Raw genomic sequence first — 21161 nt, 5'->3', positions numbered from 1 at the left:
CGCCTGTAATCCCAATTACTAGGGAGGCTGAGGCAGGATAATCGCTTGAACCTGGGAGGCGGAGGTTGCAGTGAGCCGAGATCGCGCCATTTCACTCCACCCTGGGCGACAAGAGCGAAACTCCATCTCAAAAAAAAAAAAAAAAAAACCAAAATAGTAGGTGGCTATCTGTGTTATTACTGGAGGTCTTTCTGGTGAGGGTCTACCTCTCCCTGCCTCTGGGTGCAAACCTGGGAGGGGCCTTCCATTTTCCAACTTGTTTCTTGGTTAACTTATTCTATTGTAATTAAAACAAGTGTGGGATCACTGCTGGAGTTTTTTTTGCTCAAATATGTGTGAATGGTCAGTGCAGAAAACATGATGCCAATGTGTGGCTGGAAGAGGACAAACCTAGTCCTGATCCCTCCTATTACTCTTACCAGTAGGGATTAAGGTCTCCTGCACTGTCTAATATAAAAGCATCACCTCACATGTGGCTATTTAATTTCATTAAAATAAAAAGTTCCTTACTTGTACCACCTGCATTTCAAAGTGCTCGAGAGCTGCATGTGGTTGATGGCTACCATATTAGATAGTGTAGATTTAGTCCATTTCCATCACTGTAGAAAAGTTCTGTTGGGACCGGGCGCGGTGGCGCATGCCTGTAATCCCAGTACTTTGGGAGACCAGGGCGAGCGGATCACGAGGTCAGGAGTTCGAGACCAGGCTGGCCAACATAGTGAAACCCTGTCTCTACTAAAAATACAAAAAAGTAGCCGGGTCTGGTGGTGTGCGCCTGTAATCCCGGCTACTAGGGAGGCTGAGGCAGGAGAATCGCGTGAACCAGGGAGGCGGAGGTTGCAGTGAGCCGAGATCGCACCACTGAACTCCAACCCGGACGACAGTGCGAGACTCTGTCTCAAAAAATAAAAAAAGTTCTCTTGGACAGCATCGTAAACCCTTTCCTCACAAAGCTGGCATTGGATCGAATCTGCCTGCCTCTTTCTCCACATCTTCTTTTAAAAAAACGTAGTATAATTATTTGTAATCCTAGGAAAAACGTGGCCTTTGGTTTGAATAATGGCTCAACTTCTCACTAGATGTAGTTCTGTGGGCAATTTTACCTATTGTAGCCTTAATCTTCATCTGTAATATGGAGATAATTCCATGTAACTCATAATGAAGGCGAGGAATAACTAAGAATATATAAAGTATCTGGACATAGTTAATTTGTCTCCTTTTGTCCACCCCATGTGTGCGTTGATGCAGAAGAGGCATTCCAATGTTTTCTCATCCAGACTTATGGTGGGGGGGTGGTGCCTGCAAAGAGTATGTTTTGCGATCTTGTCCAGGACAGTACTCCGGCCAGGTAGCAGCGAGGCTACCTCAGTTTACTAAAAAAGGGACACGGGTACTGAATATCTGGAAGGACTGGAGGTGGGAGTGGGGGCACCCTGAAAAGGGAGGCTCTACCTTTATGTTTCGATGGGGAGGTGTGTATAGTGACTGTGTGGGCACCGACAGTCCTTCCTCACACGGGGGACTGGGAGTCAGGAGGAACGACTAGGGACTCGTCCAGTTTTCTTCGGGTCCCCAAACGTGGCAAGAGTCCACCCTCTGCAGCGCCAGGCGCCGTACCTCACTTTCTCCATTTGCGGACTCCAGTTCCCAGGATGCTGAGCAGCGGCCAATCTCCTGGCTCTTCTTCCATCCCCCTCCCGGGAAAGACTGCCCCTGGCCAAAGCAAGGGGCAGTTGGAACTTCAGGGACCAACGACTGCAAGGGTATGGAATTAGACAGCGGCCAGAGTCCTAGTTTCGCGGCCTGGGCGGTAAATGAGGCGGCTCCAGGGCCGCGGCGGAGAGGAGGGGGGCTTCGTTCCCACGTGTCTGCCCTGCTGCCGGCCCGGCGCGGTCGGGGTTAACCCGGAGCGGAAGGATCCCGCAGCGTGTGCGTAGAACTGCAGAGTCACAGCCTTTCCTCCGAGAGGGCGGGATCCCTCCGCCGCTCCGCTCCAACACAAAATAGGGCCGCCTCTTCTCCTTTCTCCCCCTCTCGAGTGGGGTGCCCCGGGCAAAAGGCCCCCCCGGATCTAGCGCCGAAGGCTTCACGAATCTTCACGACCGCTGCCCAGCTCTTGGGCCAGGAAATAGCCCCTTCGCAGGAACCACCCTACCGGCCGAACAGGAGGCGGAGGGGGGGAGGCGGAGCGGCGCCGCGCTGCACTACTTTCCTCTCCGGTTGCAAATGGCTGCCTCGTTCCCCACTTTCCGCTCAGTTTCCTGACCCCCCGGTGCCGGGAGCCGGGGTTGGGCCATGCACCTCTAGGCCGCCTGCGATCACAGTCAGCCGGGGGTCGAGGGGGTGCCACCGACCAGAGCCGGCCAGGCCGGGGGCGGGGCAGCTCCCGAGGCCAGAGGGGAAGGGAGGCGAGCGCAGGGCCTGGAGCGGCCGGAGGGGAGCGGGCAGAGGGCTCGCACCGCCCGCCCCTTCCTTTTCCTCGCCTACCTAGCCTCCTCCCTTCCCCGGGGGGAGCAGAAGGTGGGGGGCTCGAAGCCGCCGAGGGTGAGCGCTCGGGGTCGAGAAGCCCGGCGCTGGGTGTGTGTCAGGTTCAGCCCCGCGGCCCCGCCGGCCCCGCGTCGCCGTAGCTCGCGCGGCCCCGGGCGCCGGCCGGGGCGGGGAGAGGGGCTCGGCGCTCCTGCGAGGGTCTCACGTTCCATCCGGGCCAGGCGCGGGGCGGCGCGGCATTCCTTCCGGGCTGCTGGGGAGGCGCCTCGACGTTCCATCTGGAGAGCCTCGACGTTCCGCCCGAGCCCGGCGCGGGCGGCCGGGGCGCTGGCCGGGCCCTAGGACTGAGAGGCCGCCCGGCGACGCGGATGCGGAGCCTGCTCGCCCAAGATCAAAGCCACCGGTGCTCTCTTTGTGTCCGCTCGGGATTCGCCGCCCTGGGGCTGTCCATGGAAACCTAAACTGCTGGAACCTGAGGCAGAGAACCCCTCTTTGGCTTCTTGCTGTTTTTTTGTGGGGGGAGGGTGGCCACTCCGACCTGGATTTACCGTTCTTGGCCCCCCTAAGCCCCCCCGTGCGGGGGGCGGCTGTGATCGCTCTGGCGGTTGGAGGTCGGGGAGCGGCCCGGGCTCTGGCCATGTTCTCGGATGAGGATTTCTGGATCGCCCTGTGAAGAGGTGAGTGAAGTCCGCCCGGCCAGGGCCCAGAAAGGGTTGGACTGGGGGCACAGCCAGATGGACTATCTTAGCCGGAGCTGGCCTTTAGGTTGGAGAAGGGGGTGCCAGAGCTGGGGAGCGTTCCTTTGGCAGGGTCTGTCAAGGGAACCTGAGCCAGTCACCAGGGCAGAACTGAGGCCTGGTGTCTTGGGGTGTGCCTCTTTAAAGACTGGGGGTTCAGGGAACCACGGGAGTTTGGGAACCTGGCCAGATAGCCTCTCTGCCTGTTTATTTTTGTGTTGGGGGAGCTCGACTAAACTAGGACCCGGGCCCTGATGCCAGCACCAATCCCAGGCTGCTGCTTCTCCCCTCAGGGTTCCTTGTGGGCCTTGGGACAGAGCAACTTGGGATGGTGGGGGAGGGTGTCACTGCCAGGTCAGACTTATGCCAGTTGGACTTTAAGGTTGTTCCTACCGAGTTGGGCACCCAAAGCAGTCCCTGGAAAACTCAAGGAACCCCAGATCCTTCACCAGGCCTTCTTTCACTGGGCAAAGGGAGAGTGTGTGGAAACTGACTAGTTGTGATGAAGGGGGTAGCTGGGGCAAGAAGGAGGCGGGGCTGGGGCAGTTCTGGCCCTGCTGTTCAACTTTAAACTGCCCCTGCCTGGCAAAGTGACCCCAGTGAGGCCGAGTGCTGTCTTAGCCTGCTTTGCCTCCCCTCCTCTTGGGATGGATCTAATCTCCAGAGGATTATAGAGGAGGCCGTTGAGATTTGCTCCCTGCGAATGTAGGCTGCAAAAAATGGCTTTTGTCTTTTGCCTTCTCCCGGCCTGGTATGGAGAGCTGGCTGCCCATGAGTCCCTGGCCAGTCCTGCAAGCCCCTCCCAGACCTCTCCAACCCTTTTTTGACCAGGGATTGTTAACTGGTTTTCTGATCCTGTACCAACTGTGCAGAATGGGGTGGCCTGTGTCTCTCTGGAGGAGAAATTGCTTGATCAGAGCTCTTTTCTCCTGGAAACCAGTGATTCCACCCCTGGCAGAAGGTATTGGGGAGAAAGGGTGTGTATGTGCCTGCAGCTTGAGCCTCAATCCTGTGGGCCTTGCTTGGGCTGGGACTGCCCCTCTCACACCTGTCATGCTACCCAGCAGGGATTTGGCTGGTGCATTTTGCTCCCTCACTCTTATCTGCTCCAACATACATATACTAGATTTCTTTGAGTCTGGTTTTGGAAAGGAGAAAATAGGGGTTTTGCCTTTTAAAGATTTCTGAAAGGTGAGAGGTGGCACAGGGGTAGTGGAGTGAGGTGAGCTGTCAATCCTGCTCTCCACTCCGGCATTCTATGGAGAGTCCCTCCCGTTTGTCCCGAAACAACTTCCTTATGTAGGACTGCACCCTGTTAGCTGTGCCTGCTCTCAGGATGAGCCAGGGACACAGTTCAGAGGGTCTGCAGGGCCAGTGTTCCATTTGGATCCATCTCGGAGGGGTGACCCAAAATGGGGGTGGGAAGAGGTGTGGTTTGAGTCCAGGCTGGGAACCAGGAAGTCCTGAGTCCTCCTGAAGAGCTGTTCACTCAAGGGCCTGCTTCAGCCTTACACTTCTCCAAGCGTCCATTTCCCCCTTGTCTGGGAAAATGGAGTGAAAGCTGTTGGTCTGGGAGGGAGGCAGGAAGGAGAGTGGGTTGAGATAAATCCCTGTCCTTTTCTTTGCTGTTTTGGACCTCTTAGGTATAGGACTGAGGGGGTGCCAGCACAGTTTTACTCCCTAGATCTGTACCTACTGTCTGGGATCTCTAGTTCTGTGGAGAAAGCCTGGTGAGACACTACCCCAGTTTAGATCCAGGGAAAAAATCCTTGGTGTGTATGTGTGTCAGTTTACTGGCTGTGAATGATGGGACTGGGGAACCTGGGGTCTTTGTTTAGATATGTTCAGGGGCCTATTAACTGGGAATCAGCATTGGGATCCCTGTGCTGGACTGCAGGGATGGGGAAATAGGGACTGAGGGCTCAGGCTTTTTGGAGGTGCCCCCTAGATTATTTTTGGTACAAGTTGTATGACATTCTTCTCTTTGCTTCTTAATCTCTCATCTTCCATGGCCCCATGAATGGGCTCTGGCTTTGGAGGATGTTAGTACTCTCTCAAGGCCAGATGAAGGTGGTTTCTGTACCTTCTTGAGCAGTACCAGCCTTACCAGCCTGAGAGGGCTGAGCTCGGGGGAGGGCTGAGGAATTTGCCCCTCTGGCCTTGTGTGAGGCAGCCCTCCTCCTACCCACTGTATTATCATTGTTGCCTTTTACTTCTTGATGTTTGTGACTCTTTTGGCCTCAACTTTGAGACCAGAGCGGGTAGAGGATCTTTAGGGGTATGTAGTGGTAAGATATAGTAAGATGCAAAGAATTAGAAAACTTTAAGGGCCCCTTGGACCTTCCGGGTGTGGCCAGGCCTTGAATGACTGAATGGAAGAGGGGCCTGGCTGCTGCCCTCATCTCCACCTCCCACTTCCCATGGTAGCTTCTAAGGACTCCTTGAAGTTCTGGAGCAGCTTTTGTACGAGCCGGCCAGATGACCCACCCTGCTTTCCTTTCGAATGTGGTTGTGTGGCAGGTTTGGGAAAGATGGCTTGGGAATGGAGATGATGTGTATCAGGTGATGCTTTACTTTATCCAGTGAGTTCTGAGAGTGTTAGGGGAAAAAGGAAGTTTCTTTCCTGTGACATGTCTCCAGAGGGGCATAGCCACTATCTGGAAATAAAGGGTGAGTTCAGGGCAGGAAGAGTGATATTGTAGTTCTTAGGGAATTGATTTACTGATTTGGGGCACCTTTGAGGGTTCCCCCTGTCTCATCTGTCCCAGTCATTCAACCGTAAGTGGCTGACTGGGGTATTTGCCTTCCAGTTTGGGAGGACGGGCTGTCCTTGCTAAGGGTGGTGTGGTCACTCTGGTTAGTCAAGAAGAGTGGAAAAGGCGAGAGATGAATTTCTCAAACTTTTATTGTTTGAGTTCTGTTTTAGGGATTTCCCCCACCTCACCACCACTTTCTCTAGGAACACTGTATACCTTCTCTGATTAAGAGAAAGGGTCTACATTTCCCACTACAAGCTGCTAACACTTACCACTTTCTCCCTCCTTCTATAGAATCCCTTTCCTATTCTTCGTGTCTGTAATTATTGTTCTTTTTTTTTTCCCACTGTGCTTAATTCCCTCTGAGATCTAGGAAAATAATGCCCAAAGGTGTAAGTCTCAACTTTTTTAGGTATAACTTTAGTGTGTTTCATTTGGCTCTGATACAGGCACGCATTTCTTAGAAGAAGGGACAAGGGACCGTTATTCCCCACCCCCATGTATGTGTGTGGAAACCCTGCTTGAGGGAAGAGGAAGGAAGCTACTCCGCTGTGCTGTGCTATGTCCTGCCCTGTTTAGAACTCCTCTGAGTGGCTCTATGCTTCCTGAGACTACAACTCCCAGCATGCTTAGCCTCAGGCCTGGCTACACATGCTCAGTAACTCTCAAGGTCCACTTCTGTTAACTACTAGGGATATCTGAAGAGGAAGGGCAGTTGGTGTTGCTAAGGGCAATGACCTGAGACCTTCAGGCTGGGTGAGACCCTGAGCTCAGTTAGGGCATGGGCCGGGGGTTGGTCTGAGCTGGATTTGGGTTGGAAGTGGGTGGAAATTAGGGAGTTTCTTCTTTTGTAATGGTGATGTCCTCGTAGAAACAAGTGGCGGTGGGGGAGATCCATCCATAGCTAGGCTGTAGTTCCAGTAGTGTGTTACATCTCTTGCAGTGCCTCAGACTCTGCCTCTGGGAGAGGGATTTTTGCTGGACTCAGGCTTCCTGGGTCATGACTACCCCTGGGTTGGCACAGACTGGCCTCTAGAATGGGAGCTTACTTGAGACTTGAGGGAAAGGTGTGGGAATAGGGCTCACCAAAAGCCAAAAACCCAGAGGCAAGCCAAAGAGCAGTATTAGATACAAATGGATATGCTTCTAGTTGGATGCTATGGCCCCAGGAACTCTTACAGAGGAGCCTGGAAGTGGGAAAGTCAAATGGATCCCCTGAGAATCTCTCCAGAGTGTGAGAAGAGCGTATGTGTTTATCTGGGGAGGAAGTGACCCTACAGGTTAGGGAGAATGACTTTCTTGTCAGTATAGGAGTTTGTAGTATGGCTTTGCTCTGATGTCTGGAGGGTCTGGATGCCTTCTTCCCAGGATTCTGGGAAAAATGCTTCTTGGGAAGACTTAGTAGGCATATAGATCTCTTTCTTGGCACCAACAGGTCTCCCCGAGAGGGCCCTGCCCAGTCGGAGAGAGGGATGGACAGCCAGAAGCTGGCTGGTGAGGATAAAGATTCAGAACCGGCAGGTGAGTAGGACAAATTGTTTGTTTGCTTTTAGATTTCATTGGCAACCTTACATTTCTGGTCCTGGCACAAGGACATGAGCTAAGTCTATGTAGCAGATAAGTAATGGAACAACTTTGTTCTTTGGGACAACAGTTGAAATATCATCACTCTGATCCACTCAGGTTTTGGATAATCTCATGCGTCTGGTGAGTGGACTTTGTGTTAAATAGGGATGATGGCTGACACATGCTGTTTGTCTGTTTATTCAGCTGATGGACCTGCAGCTTCTGAGGACCCAAGTGCCACTGAGTCAGACCTGCCCAACCCACATGTGGGAGAGGTCTCTGTCCTTAGTTCTGGGAGTCCCAGGCTTCAGGAGACTCCTCAGGACTGCAGGTAGCTTGTTTGAGGGCACATGAGGATTTGAGAGTCTAGGGCTTTCAAGGAAGAGAATTTAGGAAAATGAGTGTTGGGGAAGCATGGGCATGCCAGATCATGGGGTTGCTGGGGGCCTGGCGTGGTACTGATGCTTGTGTGTCCACAGTGGGGGTCCGGTGCGGCGTTGTGCTCTCTGTAACTGCGGGGAGCCCAGTCTACACGGGCAGCGGGAGCTACGGCGCTTTGAGTTGCCATTTGATTGGCCCCGGTGTCCAGTGGTGTCCCCTGGGGGGAGCCCAGGGCCCAATGAGGCAGTGCTGCCCAGTGAGGACCTATCACAGATTGGTTTCCCTGAGGGCCTTACACCTGCCCACCTAGGAGAACCTGGAGGTGAGTGAGGAGAATGGGGCAGGAAATGGGATAAGGGCTGGGTAGTCCTGAGCCAGCAATCCTCTTTTTGTTAATTCTTTCCTTTCTCTTTACCTCTTCCCACCTGTAAAGGGTCCTGCTGGGCTCACCATTGGTGTGCTGCATGGTCGGCAGGCGTATGGGGGCAGGAGGGCCCAGAACTATGTGGTGTGGACAAGGCCATCTTCTCAGGGATCTCACAGGTGGGGCTGGGCCAGGGGATTGCATAGGTGAAGGGCAGGGCTGGTGGGCTTCTGAGAGTCAGGTTGGAATGAGAAGGACCATGGGTATACTGGGGCAGAGCTAGTGCCTGAACTGTTTGTCTGGGGAGAGCTGGCTGACACTGAGGCTCTTTTTTCACCCTGGCAGCGCTGCTCCCACTGCACCAGGCTCGGTGCCTCCATCCCTTGCCGCTCACCTGGATGTCCACGGCTTTACCACTTCCCCTGCGCGACTGCCAGCGGTTCCTTCCTATCCATGAAAACACTGCAGCTGCTATGCCCAGAGCACAGTGAGGGGGCTGCATATCTGGGTGAGAAGTCCTGATCTTTGGTCATAGGGCAAATGAGAGACCAAATGTGCCTTGGATTTTTGTACTCTACAGAGCACTGATCAAAGTATAGCATTATTTACTGTTGGTCTGCCCCACTAAAATAGGTGTGAACTTTGTGAGCACCAGGGTTTTGCCTGTCTCATTTATCATTTTGTCTCCAGTGCCTAGAACAGTAGCTGGCAGACGTTGGGCAGGCACTCAGTAACTTTGTTGTTTGTTCATTCTGTGCCCATGGAGTGCCTGTTTTGTGTACAGCAATGTGCTGAGGCTTACAAGGAATCCATAGCTGACCTGTGGTGTCTCTACCCCCTGCAGAGGAGGCTCGCTGTGCAGTGTGTGAGGGGCCAGGGGAGTTGTGTGACCTGTTCTTCTGTACCAGCTGTGGGCATCACTATCACGGGGCCTGCCTGGACACTGCTCTGACTGCCCGCAAACGTGCTGGCTGGCAGTGCCCTGAATGCAAAGTGTGCCAAGCCTGCAGGTAGGAATGGAAGGGCAGGAGGAAAGTCTTAGGCACAACACAGGTTAGGGTTGAAAATGAGGGCAGTCGGAGAAGGCCTGTTAACATGAAAACAACAAAAAAGAAAGGAAATGAGGGCAGAGAGGACACTGTAATGTTCCATGTGCACCTGCAGGAAACCTGGGAATGACTCTAAGATGTTGGTTTGTGAGACGTGTGACAAAGGATACCATACTTTCTGCCTAAAACCACCCATGGAGGAACTGCCTGCTCACTCTTGGAAGTGCAAGGTGAGTGTACCCTGATTCTGCCCTATTGTCCCTAACTGTGTCTGCTACAGCATTCTCTGTCTTGACAAGTTGTGTACTTTCGTTTAGTCTTTGCTGTCTGACCAATGCCTGTTTTGCCCACTCCCTTCCCTTAGGCGTGCCGGGTGTGCCGGGCCTGTGGGGCGGGCTCAGCAGAACTGAATCCCAACTCGGAGTGGTTTGAGAACTACTCTCTCTGTCACCGCTGTCACAAAGCCCAGGGAGGTCAGACTATCCGCTCCGTTGCTGAGCAGCATACCCCGGTGTGTAGCAGGTAAGTGGTGGGGACTGACTGAGATTGGGCTGGCAGGTTGGAAGAACTGACATTGGCAGGGGCCTTGTTAAATTGAGTGGACTTTGAGAGGAGAGCCCTAAGGTGGGCAGTGCCATCCACAGCATTCGTGCCTCCCCCCAGTGTGCTCTCTAGGATTTGTTAGCTGGTGAGAGCCACAGTGCCTGCTCCCCTGTACCCTCTGCAGATTTTCACCCCCAGAGCCTGGCGATACCCCCACTGACGAGCCCGATGCTCTGTACGTTGCATGCCAAGGGCAGCCAAAGGGTGGGCACGTGACCTCTATGCAACCCAAGGAACCAGGGCCCCTGCAATGTGAAGCCAAACCACTAGGTGAGTAGGGTTTGAGGGTCCCTGAAATTCATCCCCTTTTATTCTATGGCAAGAGACAGTTTGTGCATTGCCCCAGACCCCACACTTTCTGTGGAGTAGATCTGAGCTAGATAGGAGCATCGTGTTGTTGTGTCTGCAGGGAAAGCAGGGGTCCAACTTGAGCCCCAGTTGGAGGCCCCCCTAAACGAGGAGATGCCACTGCTGCCCCCACCTGAGGAGTCACCCCTGTCCCCACCACCTGAGGAATCACCCACGTCCCCACCACCTGAGGCATCACGCCTGTCACCACCACCTGAGGAATTGCCCGCATCCCCACTTCCTGAGGCATTGCACCTGTCCCGGCCGCTGGAGGAATCGCCCCTCTCTCCGCCGCCTGAGGAGTCTCCTCTGTCTCCCCCACCTGAATCATCACCTTTTTCTCCACTGGAGGAGTCGCCCTTGTCTCCACCGGAAGAGTCACCCCCATCTCCTGCACTTGAGACGCCTCTATCCCCACCACCTGAAGCATCGCCCCTGTCCCCACCATTTGAAGAATCTCCTTTGTCCCCGCCACCTGAGGAATTGCCCACTTCCCCGCCACCTGAAGCATCTCGCCTGTCTCCACCACCTGAGGAGTCACCCATGTCCCCTCCACCTGAAGAGTCACCCATGTCTCCACCACCGGAGGCATCTCGTCTGTTCCCACCATTTGAAGAGTCTCCTCTGTCCCCTCCACCTGAGGAGTCTCCCCTTTCCCCACCACCTGAGGCATCACGCCTGTCCCCACCACCTGAGGACTCGCCTATGTCCCCACCACCTGAAGAATCACCTATGTCCCCCCCACCTGAGGTATCGCGCCTATCCCCCCTGCCTGTGGTGTCACGCCTGTCTCCACCGCCTGAGGAATCTCCCTTGTCCCCACCGCCTGAGGAGTCTCCCACGTCCCCTCCACCTGAGGCTTCACGCCTCTCCCCACCACCTGAGGACTCCCCCACATCCCCACCACCTGAGGACTCACCTGCTTCCCCACCACCGGAGGACTCGCTCATGTCCCTGCCGCTGGAGGAGTCACCCCTGTTGCCACTACCTGAGGAGCCGCAACTCTGCCCCCGGTCCGAGGGGCCGCACCTGTCACCCCGGCCTGAGGAGCCGCACCTGTCCCCCCGGCCTGAGGAGCCACACCTATCTCCGCAGGCTGAGGAGCCACACCTGTCCCCCCAGCCTGAGGAGCCATGCCTATGCGCTGTGCCTGAGGAGCCACACTTGTCCCCCCAGGCTGAGGGACCACATCTGTCCCCTCAGCCTGAGGAATTGCACCTGTCCCCCCAGACTGAGGAGCCGCACCTGTCTCCTGTGCCTGAGGAGCCATGCTTGTCCCCCCAACCTGAGGAATCACACCTGTCCCCCCAGTCTGAGGAGCCATGCCTGTCCCCCCGGCCTGAGGAATCGCATCTGTCCCCTGAGCTTGAGAAGCCACCCCTGTCCCCTCGGCCTGAAAAGCCCCCTGAGGAGCCAGGCCAATGCCCTGCACCTGAGGAGCTGCCCTTGTTCCCTCCCCCTGGGGAACCATCCTTATCTCCCTTGCTTGGAGAGCCAGCCCTGTCTGAGCCTGGGGAACCACCTCTGTCCCCTCTGCCCGAGGAGCTGCCGTTGTCCCCATCTGGGGAGCCATCCTTGTCGCCTCAGCTGATGCCACCAGGTAAGGGGATGTTAGTACTCTGTTATTCTGGAACAGCTGTAACTCTTCATGGCACATCTAATCTAAGAGCCCTTCTTTTTTCTCTTTCCTTCCAGATCCCCTTCCTCCTCCACTCTCACCCATCATCACAGCTGCGGCCCCACCGGCCCTGTCTCCTTTGGGGGAGTTAGAGTACCCCTTTGGTGCCAAAGGGGACAGTGACCCTGAGTCACCGTTGGCTGCCCCCATCCTGGAGACACCCATCAGCCCTCCACCAGAAGCTAACTGCACTGACCCTGAGCCTGTCCCCCCTATGATCCTTCCCCCATCTCCAGGCTCCCCAGTGGGGCCGGCTTCTCCCATCCTGATGGAGCCCCTTCCTCCTCAGTGTTCGCCACTCCTTCAGCATTCCCTGGTTCCCCAAAACTCCCCTCCTTCCCAGTGCTCTCCTCCTGCCCTACCACTGTCCGTTCCCTCCCCGTTGAGTCCCATAGGGAAGGTAGTGGGGGTCTCAGATGAGGCTGAGCTGCACGAGATGGAGACTGAGAAAGTTTCAGAACCTGAATGCCCAGCCTTGGAACCCAGTGCCACCAGTCCTCTCCCTTCCCCAATGGGGGACCTTTCCTGCCCCGCCCCCAGCCCTGCCCCAGCCCTGGATGACTTCTCTGGCCTAGGGGAAGACACAGCCCCTCTGGATGGGATTGATGCTCCGGGTTCACAGCCAGAGCCTGGACAGACCCCTGGCAGTTTGGCTAGTGAACTTAAAGGCTCCCCTGTGCTCCTGGACCCCGAGGAGCTGGCCCCTGTGACCCCTATGGAGGTCTACCCCGAATGCAAGCAGACAGCAGGGCAGGGCTCACCATGTGAAGAACAGGAAGAGCCACGTGCACCGGTGGCCCCCACACCACCCACTCTCATCAAATCCGACATCGTTAACGAGATCTCTAATCTGAGCCAGGGTGATGCCAGTGCCAGTTTTCCTGGCTCAGAGCCCCTCCTGGGCTCTCCAGACCCGGAGGGGGGTGGCTCCCTGTCCATGGAGTTGGGGGTCTCTACGGATGTTAGTCCAGCCCGAGATGAGGGCTCCCTACGGCTCTGTACTGACTCACTGCCAGAGACTGATGACTCACTATTGTGCGATGCTGGGACAGCTATCAGCGGAGGCAAAGCTGAGGGGGAGAAGGGGCGGCGGCGCAGCTCCCCAGCCCGTTCCCGCATCAAACAGGTGAGGGGCTATCTAGCTGCGGGATGTGATTAGAGTTAGCCCACTGTCAGAGGTACAGTCCTGTGTCACTGATACTTTCCCACCTTGCTTTGTGAATCCTAGACTTGGAGATCCTTTATTCCAGTTATTAAGGAGAAAATACTAATACGTAGAAGGGACAAGTAACTTGCCCAGATTCATGGTTACTCAGTAATAGAATTGGGACCAGAAACTTGGTTCTTTCAAGCCATTGTTTTTTCTCCTTGCCCATCTCAACCACTCTTGGGAGGGGAAGAATGGGTTTGGGCTAGAGCTATGCGCTTGTTGATATCTGGGAGTTTGGCCTTTTCCCTTGCCCTGAGTGGGACTCCTGGGCTTATTACCTGTCTTACTCTGTCCGTTTGTCACTTCTTCTGTTCAAGTGTGTAAACCCAACACACTAGCCCTTGACATGCTCCTGTCATTGTCCCCTTCTTTCACTCAGGGTCGCAGCAGCAGTTTCCCAGGAAGACGCCGGCCTCGTGGAGGAGCCCATGGAGGACGTGGTAGAGGACGGGCCCGGCTAAAGTCAACTGCTTCTTCCATTGAGACTCTGGTAGTAAGGAGATGCCTCCTATTCCTCCCATCCCCCAACCATGCTTTAGCACCCTCTGAGTCCTGCCAGTCCCTTGCATGCTTGCCTACCTGCCTGCTCGTCTAGGGCCTGTCTGGCTATGTCTGAATTCCTGTCCACTTGGCCCGCAGGTTTTTCTGAAATCTCTGCTATCAGACTGAGGCTCAATTTGGGAGCTGGGGTGTTCTGTCTGTTATTCCTGGCTTTTGGCCTTCATCTTAACCAAGGGTTCACACTTTCTTCCCCCAACACCAAAGAGGAAAGTAGCTTGGTGGGGGCAGATTTATCTGCCTCACTTTCCATAACTCTCTGCCCATCAGGTTGCTGACATTGATAGCTCTCCCAGTAAGGAGGAGGAGGAAGAAGATGATGACACCATGCAGAATACCGTGGTTCTCTTCTCCAACACAGACAAATTTGTCCTAATGCAGGTACCATACAGTGAGACCTGGCACACTGAACATTGTGTATGTGTGTGTTTGGTGAGAGGATAGATGGGAAAACTGGACCTACTTTGGGGATACCCAGCTAATGAGAAAACAGACCATGAATTCTAATCATGTTATTCATTGGTTTGTCCATCCATCACATTTCTCTTGAGTATCTCTTCTGAGCTTGGCACTAAGCTAGGAGCTAGAGAAATAGCAGTGAAAAAGTCTTTGCCTTATTGAACTTTATAGCTTAGGGAACTTACATGTGTCCTCACTTGAATAATCTTGAAGCTGATAGAATTTTGTCACATATGTGATTCTCACCTGACCAGTCTTTACTCCATCTTATCTTCCTTTAATTTCTTCTTAACTTCACCCATGTCAGGCTTTATAAATTCAAGTGACCTGATTAGGTGAGTAAGGCATCCTAGGAAGGAGCAGGGTCCCTTGGTAGCTTACAGCATCCTAACGCTGTGGGATGGGGTTCCTGACTCTGGTCGCAAATCAGTGTTGTAGCGTCATAGTAGACTGGATCTGAGTGGGATGGGGAGATCTAGTTGGACATTTGGGTTTCTCTGTGTTTCCCCAGGACATGTGTGTGGTATGTGGCAGCTTTGGCCGGGGGGCAGAGGGCCACCTCCTTGCCTGTTCGCAGTGCTCTCAGTGCTATCACCCTTACTGTGTCAACAGCAAGGTGAGTTCAGGGCCCAAGAGGTGTAGGCTGGGGAATAGGGTCAGTTATTTCTTACCCTAGTTCCTTGTCCTGGCCATACCACCTCTTAAAGCGGCCATCGGTCATGGTTGTTCATTAGTCACCAGTGGTTATCAAACTTTTCTTGGGGAAAAGTACTTTGGAACTCAACGGTGGACTTGATAGTTTCTTTGTGGTAGGCCCTGACTTGCTGGTATAATTCAGTCCATCGTAAAAAATAACAACATGGCTGGGCATGGTGGCTCCCACCTGTAATCCCAGCACTTTGGGAGGCCTAGGTGGGTGGATCACCTGAGATTAGGAGTTCAGGACCATCGTGGTCAACATGGTGAAACCCCGTCTCTTCTAAAAAATAACAAAAATTAGCTGAGTGTGGTAGCGCGTGCCTGTAATCTCAGCAACTCGGGAGGCTGAGGCAGGAGAATTGCTTGAACCCAGGAGGCGGAGGTTGCAGTGAGCCGAGATCACGCCACTGTACTCCACTCCAGCCTGGGCAACAGAGTGAGATCCGTCTCAAAAAAAAAAAAAAAAAAAAAAAAAGGAAAAACTGGGGGACCTAATTCGGTCCACAGTCTCTTTTTAGGGGCTTGGCTAGTGGAAAGATTGCTATTCTATTCACAATGAGGCAGTGGCTAGTGCAGCTCTTCTCTGATCAGCAGAGATCATTGGGAGCCTAAGTTTAGAGTCACTGTTTTGGGGACAAGGGTGCTCTGCCTAAGTCTCTGTGTGCTCAAATGGAGGCCTAGTCTCTGCATTGGGCTGCCTCCAGCCTCACCCTTAGAAGTTCCACCTCCTAGGCTGGGCACGGTGGCGCACACCTGTAATCCCAGCACTTTACTTCGGGAGGGTGAGGCGGGTGGATCACCTAAGGTCAGGAGTTGGTGACCAGCCTGACTAACATGGTGAAACTCTGACTCTACTAAATACAAAAAAATTAGCCAGGTGTGGTGGCAGGTGCCTGTAATCTCAGCTACTTGGGAGGCTGAGACAAGAGAATCACTTGTACCTGAGAGGCAGAGGTTGCAGTGAGCCGAGATCGCGCCATTGCACTCCAGCCTGGGGAACAAGAGCAAAACTCCATCTCCAAAAAAAAATAAAAAGAAGTTCTACCTCTTTTCCACCTCACACCCTGAGAAGTTCCCATCTTCTGCCCCAGATCACCAAGGTGATGCTGCTCAAGGGCTGGCGTTGTGTGGAGTGTATTGTGTGTGAGGTGTGTGGCCAGGCCTCCGACCCCTCACGCCTGCTGCTCTGTGATGACTGTGATATTAGCTACCACACATACTGCCTGGACCCCCCACTGCTCACCGTCCCCAAGGGCGGCTGGAAGTGCAAGTGGTAAGGAGACTGGGATCTTCAGTGGAGCCCTGGGGCCTTGAGATGTTAAAGTGGATATGATGTTGAGTATGTGACAGAGGCTGGGTTTAGGAGGCCAGGCTGGTGGCTTGGGTTTCCGGTGAGGGGACTTCTGGGTACTTCGGGTAGGTTGGGTGCTAAAGCTCTGTTTTCCTGCTCCTATCAGGTGTGTGTCCTGTATGCAGTGTGGGGCTGCTTCCCCTGGCTTCCACTGTGAATGGCAGAATAGTTACACACACTGTGGGCCCTGTGCCAGCCTGGTGACCTGCCCTATCTGTCATGCTCCTTACGTAGAAGAGGACCTACTAATCCAGTGCCGCCACTGTGAACGGTGAGAACATCCCTTTCTCCTCACTTTGGCCCTGTTGCCAGCCTCGCATTGCCTGAGCTTATTTCCTCCAGTCTCTGTTCTCCAGGTGGATGCATGCAGGCTGTGAGAGCCTCTTCACAGAGGACGATGTGGAGCAGGCAGCCGATGAAGGCTTTGACTGTGTCTCCTGCCAGCCCTACGTGGTAAAGCCTGTGGGTGAGTACCAGCTGCTGGGTAGGGGGAGGAGTCAGAGCAGGGGTACCTTGCTTTGGGACAGGACCTCAGCCACCTCCGTTTGTCCTTCTCTCCATAGCGCCTGTTGCACCTCCAGAGCTGGTGCCCATGAAGGTGAAAGAGCCAGGTGAGTCACAGAAATTTTGAATGCCAAAGCCAGACCAGACGTCGGACATCATCTAGTCTAGCTCCAACCCCCTAGCTTCATCTCCTTATTTTAAGAGGAGGAAACTCAGACCCAGAGAAGTTAAGTGGCCTGCCCAAGGTCACCTAGTAAGTTAGTGGCAAAGTTATGCCTAGAACCAAGGTCTCCAGCTTCCCGGGCAATGTTCCTTTCATCAGGCACCATGGTCTCTTCACTGCTAGGATTTCGTCTTCAGATCTCTTTTTTTTTTTTTTTTTTGAGATGGAGTCTTGCTCTGTTGCCCAGGCTGGAGTGCAGTGGCACAAGCTTGGCACATTGCAAGCTTTGCCTCCCGGGTTCACGCCATTCTCCTGCCTCAGCCTCCTGAGTAGCTGGGACTACAGGTGCCCGCCACCACGCCCGGCTAATTTTTTGTATTTTTTAGTAGAGATGGGGTTTCACCGTGTTAGCCAGGATGGTCTCGATCTCCGGACCTCGTGATCTGCCAGCCTCGGCCTCCCAAAGGGCTGGGATTACAAGCATGAGCACCGCGCCCGGCTGAGAACATAACTCTTTTTCCTAAGTGAAAGGGGCCAGGGACATCTCCATCGTGATATGGCACTGCTGCTGGCATCTAGGACACTGTGTGCTGGCATTCAGCAAGTAGGGGCCCTCATAGCCCCAGACAGCAAGAGAATCTATTTAGTGAACCTAGGGTTAATCATGAGCAAAGGCAGGCTTCTGAGTTACAGTTCCTCTCTGAATCTCCCTGGGTCACTGACAGAGAACTCGGGCCTCAGCCAGTGCCCCTTGGTGGCCTGTTCTCCTCAGCATTTAGACCCTAAGCTGGACTTTTGTCACTGCCTTTGTCTCAGCTAAGGACATAGGTTGAAACTTGCAGTTCTGGTTTCCCTGGGGCTTCCATCCAGGGATCACATACTCTTTCCTCTTATGCAGAGCCCCAGTACTTTCGCTTCGAAGGTGTGTGGCTGACAGAAACTGGCATGGCCTTGCTGCGTAACCTGACCATGTCACCACTGCACAAGCGGCGCCAACGGCGAGGACGGCTTGGCCTCCCAGGCGAGGCAGGATTGGAGGGTTCTGAGCCCTCAGATGCCCTTGGCCCTGATGACAAGAAGGATGGGGACCTGGACACCGATGAGCTGCTCAAGGGTGAAGGTTAGCTTGGGGAATCTTAGGGAGCGGCAGAGTAGGGGGAGCGTGACTCTGGGAGTGGGATGTTGGGTGGGGGCTACATTGCCACTCAGTTACCCTTAAGCACTGCTGTCTCGTCTAAGTGGCTCTGAGGCAAGGTATTCAGCTCTCTCAGTGGCAGGATGACAAGGTTAAAAGGGCCTATAGTTCTGATTTGCCTCCATCTCTTCTGTCACCATACGCAGGTGGTGTGGAGCACATGGAGTGCGAAATTAAACTGGAGGGCCCCGTCAGCCCTGATGTGGAGCCTGGCAAAGAGGAGACCGAGGAAAGCAAAAAACGCAAGCGTAAACCATATCGGCCTGGTGAGGTCCTGGGATGGGGTTGTGGGGTGGTGGGGTGGTGCGGGGCAGCTCAATAGGTCCCCCAGCGGCTTCTCATCCACAACTCTGCCTCCTCATAGGCATTGGTGGTTTCATGGTGCGACAGCGGAAATCCCACACACGCACGAAAAAGGGGCCTGCTGCACAGGCGGAGGTGTTGAGTGGGGATGGGCAGCCCGACGAGGGTGAGACGGGTGAGGGCACCAGTGGGGCCTGGGAGAAGGTGGGGCAATGCTAGAGAGACCCAGGGGGTGGACTCATTGAAAGGGCCAAGAGGGTGGTAGACCCAGCTGGTGTTGTGGGAGAGAGTAGGCACAAAGTGTCACCCTGCAAGTTGGGAGCAGCATGCTCTCAACCCGAGTCTGACACTTCCGTTCTGTCCACAGTGATACCTGCTGACCTGCCTGCAGAGGGCGCCGTGGAGCAGAGCTTAGCTGAAGGGGATGAGAAGAAGAAGCAACAGCGGCGAGGGCGCAAGAAGAGCAAACTGGAGGACATGTTCCCTGCTTACTTGCAGGTGGGTCTCAGGCTCCAAGCAGTGAGGGAGGTGTCTGTGCCCTGCAGGGCATGAAGAAAACTGTTTCTCCTTGACTGCCCCACAGGAAGCCTTCTTTGGGAAGGAGCTGCTGGACCTGAGCCGTAAGGCCCTTTTTGCAGTTGGGGTGGGCCGGCCAAGCTTTGGACTAGGGACCCCAAAAGCCAAGGGAGATGGAGGCTCAGAAAGGAAGGAACTCCCCACATCGCAGAAAGGTTAGTTATGTGGGAGTGAGTGGTGTGAGAGAATCCAACTTTCTTCTGGCTTAGGAGCTGGCAAGTTATTTGATGGGAAATGGACTGGCCTCCAGGAGTCAAGGGTGGGGTCAAGGGTCCTGGCCTGTAGGGCTGTGGGACTGGAGACCTGTTCTGGGCATCAGATGTAGGACATCTCTGATTGGAGGGGGGACTCTTGCTCATAGGAGATGATGGTCCAGATATTGCAGATGAAGAATCCCGTGGCCTCGAGGGCAAAGCCGATACACCAGGTGAGGGCTGCCGGGGTTACTGTGTCCTGTCTTGGCCTTGCTTGCCTCTGTCCCTCTGCTGTGCCCCTGAGCATTGTCAGTGTTGGAGGCTGGAAACTGTCCCATGGCCCTCTGTGGTTCAGAGTGGCCATGACCCATCCTGGCCTTGACCCATGGGTTTCTCCTGGCATTTACAGGACCTGAGGATGGGGGCGTGAAGGCATCCCCAGTGCCCAGTGACCCTGAGAAGCCAGGCACCCCAGGTGAAGGGATGCTTAGCTCTGACTTAGACAGGATTTCCACAGAAGGTGAGGCTGTGACCCGTACCTCTTTGTGTATAAGGGTTTTCTATGGGAGAAGGAGGAGGTCCTATCTTTGGGACTGTGATCTGTACAGCTTCTCTGGTGGGGAGTCCTGGACTGTTCCTGGCCATGATCATTTGTAGACCTGTGGTGTCACCTGAACTTCCCAGTCTTCCTCAACAGTGTCCTTCATTCCCCCACAGAACTGCCCAAGATGGAATCCAAGGACCTGCAGCAGCTCTTCAAGGATGTTCTGGGCTCTGAACGAGAACAGCATCTGGGTTGTGGAACCCCTGGCCTAGAAGGCAGCCGTACGCCACTGCAGAGGCCCTTTCTTCAAGGTAATACAGGTGGGAGTGGTCTGAAGACTGACATAACCAAGCTTGCCTCCAGGATGGGCCAGTTGCTCTTTTCTCTGATCCTGTCCGTCTTGTAGGTGGACTCCCTTTGGGCAATCTGCCCTCCAGCAGCCCAATGGACTCCTACCCAGGCCTCTGCCAGTCCCCGTTCCTGGATTCTAGGTTGGTGTCTCTGCGTAACCTTTGTGGGCAGTCCTCGTTGTCCTTTCCCTCCATCTGAGTTCATGCTTTGCCTCCCTCGGACTCCTGCAGCACTTCCCCTGCTCCTCCCCATTCCCTTGTTAGTGACCCTCCTCTTTTGGGGCAGGGCAGTGGCCTGGGGCTCTAGGCAGTTTGTCTGGGGTGGGACTTGGCATCCCTGCGCCCTGTGACTCTCTGCCCCTGCGCCCCAGGGAGCGCGGGGGCTTCTTTAGCCCGGAACCCGGTGAGCCCGACAGCCCCTGGACGGGCTCAGGTGGCACCACGCCCTCCACCCCCACAACCCCCACCACGGAGGGTGAGGGCGACGGACTCTCCTATAACCAGCGGAGTCTTCAGCGCTGGGAGAAGGATGAGGAGTTGGGCCAGCTGTCCACCATCTCACCTGTGCTCTATGCCAACATTAATTTTCCTAATCTCAAGCAAGACTACCCAGGTACCTGTGGGATGAGGGCAAGGGAGACAGCCTGGCAACATGGCAGGTGGAGGAGTCGCCTGCCAAGTCTTCTCTGACTCACTCTCTCTGCCCTCCAGACTGGTCAAGCCGTTGCAAACAAATCATGAAGCTCTGGAGAAAGGTTCCAGCAGCTGACAAAGCCCCCTACCTGGTGAGGCAGAAAGGAGCATGGATTAGCGTGGGAACTGAGAGGGAGGGAGGGATCTTTGGGTAATTTACCTCAGTTCTTTCCGCTCCCCACTCCTAAAGCAGCTGGGCCAGAAGGGATCTGCTTCTGGGTAGGGAGTGTGAAAACACTACAGTATGGGGGCGGGGCATGAGACCAAGCACTAGGCCCTAAGGCTGTGTCCCATATCCCTCAGCAAAAGGCCAAAGATAACCGGGCAGCTCACCGCATCAACAAGGTGCAGAAGGTGAGTGGGGCTGGGCTGGGGTGTAGCAGTCCTCTAGTG

General features: G+C 54.6%; 1 protein-coding gene across 1 annotated transcript in view, besides 6 other annotated features; it reads left to right on the top strand.

Annotated features, from left to right (window-relative positions):
- Window positions 1916–2165: an enhancer, noted in NCBI's record as "active region_6303". NCBI's record gives its function as "activates an Ori minimal core promoter by ATAC-STARR-seq in GM12878 lymphoblastoid cells {active_cell/tissue: GM12878}" and the evidence as "EXISTENCE:reporter gene assay evidence [ECO:0000049][PMID:35858748]".
- Window positions 1983–21161, top strand: part of KMT2D (lysine methyltransferase 2D) — a 41817-nt gene continuing 22638 nt past the window's right edge. The window contains exons 1-31 of the mRNA NM_003482.4: window positions 1983–3164; window positions 7416–7501; window positions 7751–7877; window positions 8026–8249; window positions 8361–8470; window positions 8637–8799; window positions 9136–9301; window positions 9456–9570; window positions 9705–9862; window positions 10068–10213; window positions 10353–11891; window positions 11987–13095; window positions 13559–13672; window positions 14008–14118; window positions 14708–14812; window positions 15987–16168; window positions 16353–16517; window positions 16603–16712; window positions 16810–16857; window positions 17812–18033; window positions 18255–18374; window positions 18473–18577; window positions 18779–18909; window positions 18995–19142; window positions 19349–19414; window positions 19591–19701; window positions 19899–20036; window positions 20132–20216; window positions 20447–20688; window positions 20787–20860; window positions 21072–21122. Coding sequence (NP_003473.3) covers window positions 7453–7501; window positions 7751–7877; window positions 8026–8249; window positions 8361–8470; window positions 8637–8799; window positions 9136–9301; window positions 9456–9570; window positions 9705–9862; window positions 10068–10213; window positions 10353–11891; window positions 11987–13095; window positions 13559–13672; window positions 14008–14118; window positions 14708–14812; window positions 15987–16168; window positions 16353–16517; window positions 16603–16712; window positions 16810–16857; window positions 17812–18033; window positions 18255–18374; window positions 18473–18577; window positions 18779–18909; window positions 18995–19142; window positions 19349–19414; window positions 19591–19701; window positions 19899–20036; window positions 20132–20216; window positions 20447–20688; window positions 20787–20860; window positions 21072–21122 — 6234 coding nt within the window. The 5' untranslated portion in view covers window positions 1983–3164; window positions 7416–7452. The remainder of the gene's footprint in view (window positions 3165–7415; window positions 7502–7750; window positions 7878–8025; window positions 8250–8360; window positions 8471–8636; window positions 8800–9135; window positions 9302–9455; window positions 9571–9704; window positions 9863–10067; window positions 10214–10352; window positions 11892–11986; window positions 13096–13558; window positions 13673–14007; window positions 14119–14707; window positions 14813–15986; window positions 16169–16352; window positions 16518–16602; window positions 16713–16809; window positions 16858–17811; window positions 18034–18254; window positions 18375–18472; window positions 18578–18778; window positions 18910–18994; window positions 19143–19348; window positions 19415–19590; window positions 19702–19898; window positions 20037–20131; window positions 20217–20446; window positions 20689–20786; window positions 20861–21071; window positions 21123–21161) is intronic.
- Window positions 2216–2835: a silencer, noted in NCBI's record as "silent region_4423". NCBI's record gives its function as "represses an Ori minimal core promoter by ATAC-STARR-seq in GM12878 lymphoblastoid cells {active_cell/tissue: GM12878}" and the evidence as "EXISTENCE:reporter gene assay evidence [ECO:0000049][PMID:35858748]".
- Window positions 2997–3291: a silencer, noted in NCBI's record as "tiled region #5975; K562 Repressive non-DNase unmatched - State 2:TssF". NCBI's record gives its function as "represses a minimal TATA promoter and a strong SV40 promoter by Sharpr-MPRA in K562 cells {active_cell/tissue: K562}" and the evidence as "EXISTENCE:reporter gene assay evidence [ECO:0000049][PMID:27701403]".
- Window positions 6667–6736: a silencer, noted in NCBI's record as "silent region_4422". NCBI's record gives its function as "represses an Ori minimal core promoter by ATAC-STARR-seq in GM12878 lymphoblastoid cells {active_cell/tissue: GM12878}" and the evidence as "EXISTENCE:reporter gene assay evidence [ECO:0000049][PMID:35858748]".
- Window positions 12083–12583: an enhancer, noted in NCBI's record as "H3K4me1 hESC enhancer chr12:49443977-49444477 (GRCh37/hg19 assembly coordinates)". NCBI's record gives its function as "activates a minimal SCP1, AML or CMV promoter by ChIP-STARR-seq in naive H9 embryonic stem cells {active_cell/tissue: H9 hESC(naive)}" and the evidence as "EXISTENCE:reporter gene assay evidence [ECO:0000049][PMID:30033119]".
- Window positions 12617–13816: an enhancer, noted in NCBI's record as "CDK7 strongly-dependent group 2 enhancer chr12:49442744-49443943 (GRCh37/hg19 assembly coordinates)". NCBI's record gives its function as "activates an origin of replication core promoter dependent on BRD2, BRD4, P300/CBP, MED14 and CDK7 cofactors, with strong dependence on CDK7, by STARR-seq in HCT116 cells {active_cell/tissue: HCT116}" and the evidence as "EXISTENCE:reporter gene assay evidence [ECO:0000049][PMID:35650434]".

This window comes from Homo sapiens, chromosome 12 (genome assembly GCF_000001405.40).
Source record: "Homo sapiens chromosome 12, GRCh38.p14 Primary Assembly".
Taxonomy (NCBI): Eukaryota; Metazoa; Chordata; class Mammalia; order Primates; family Hominidae; genus Homo; species Homo sapiens.
This window is presented reverse-complemented; position numbering and strand designations above follow the sequence as displayed.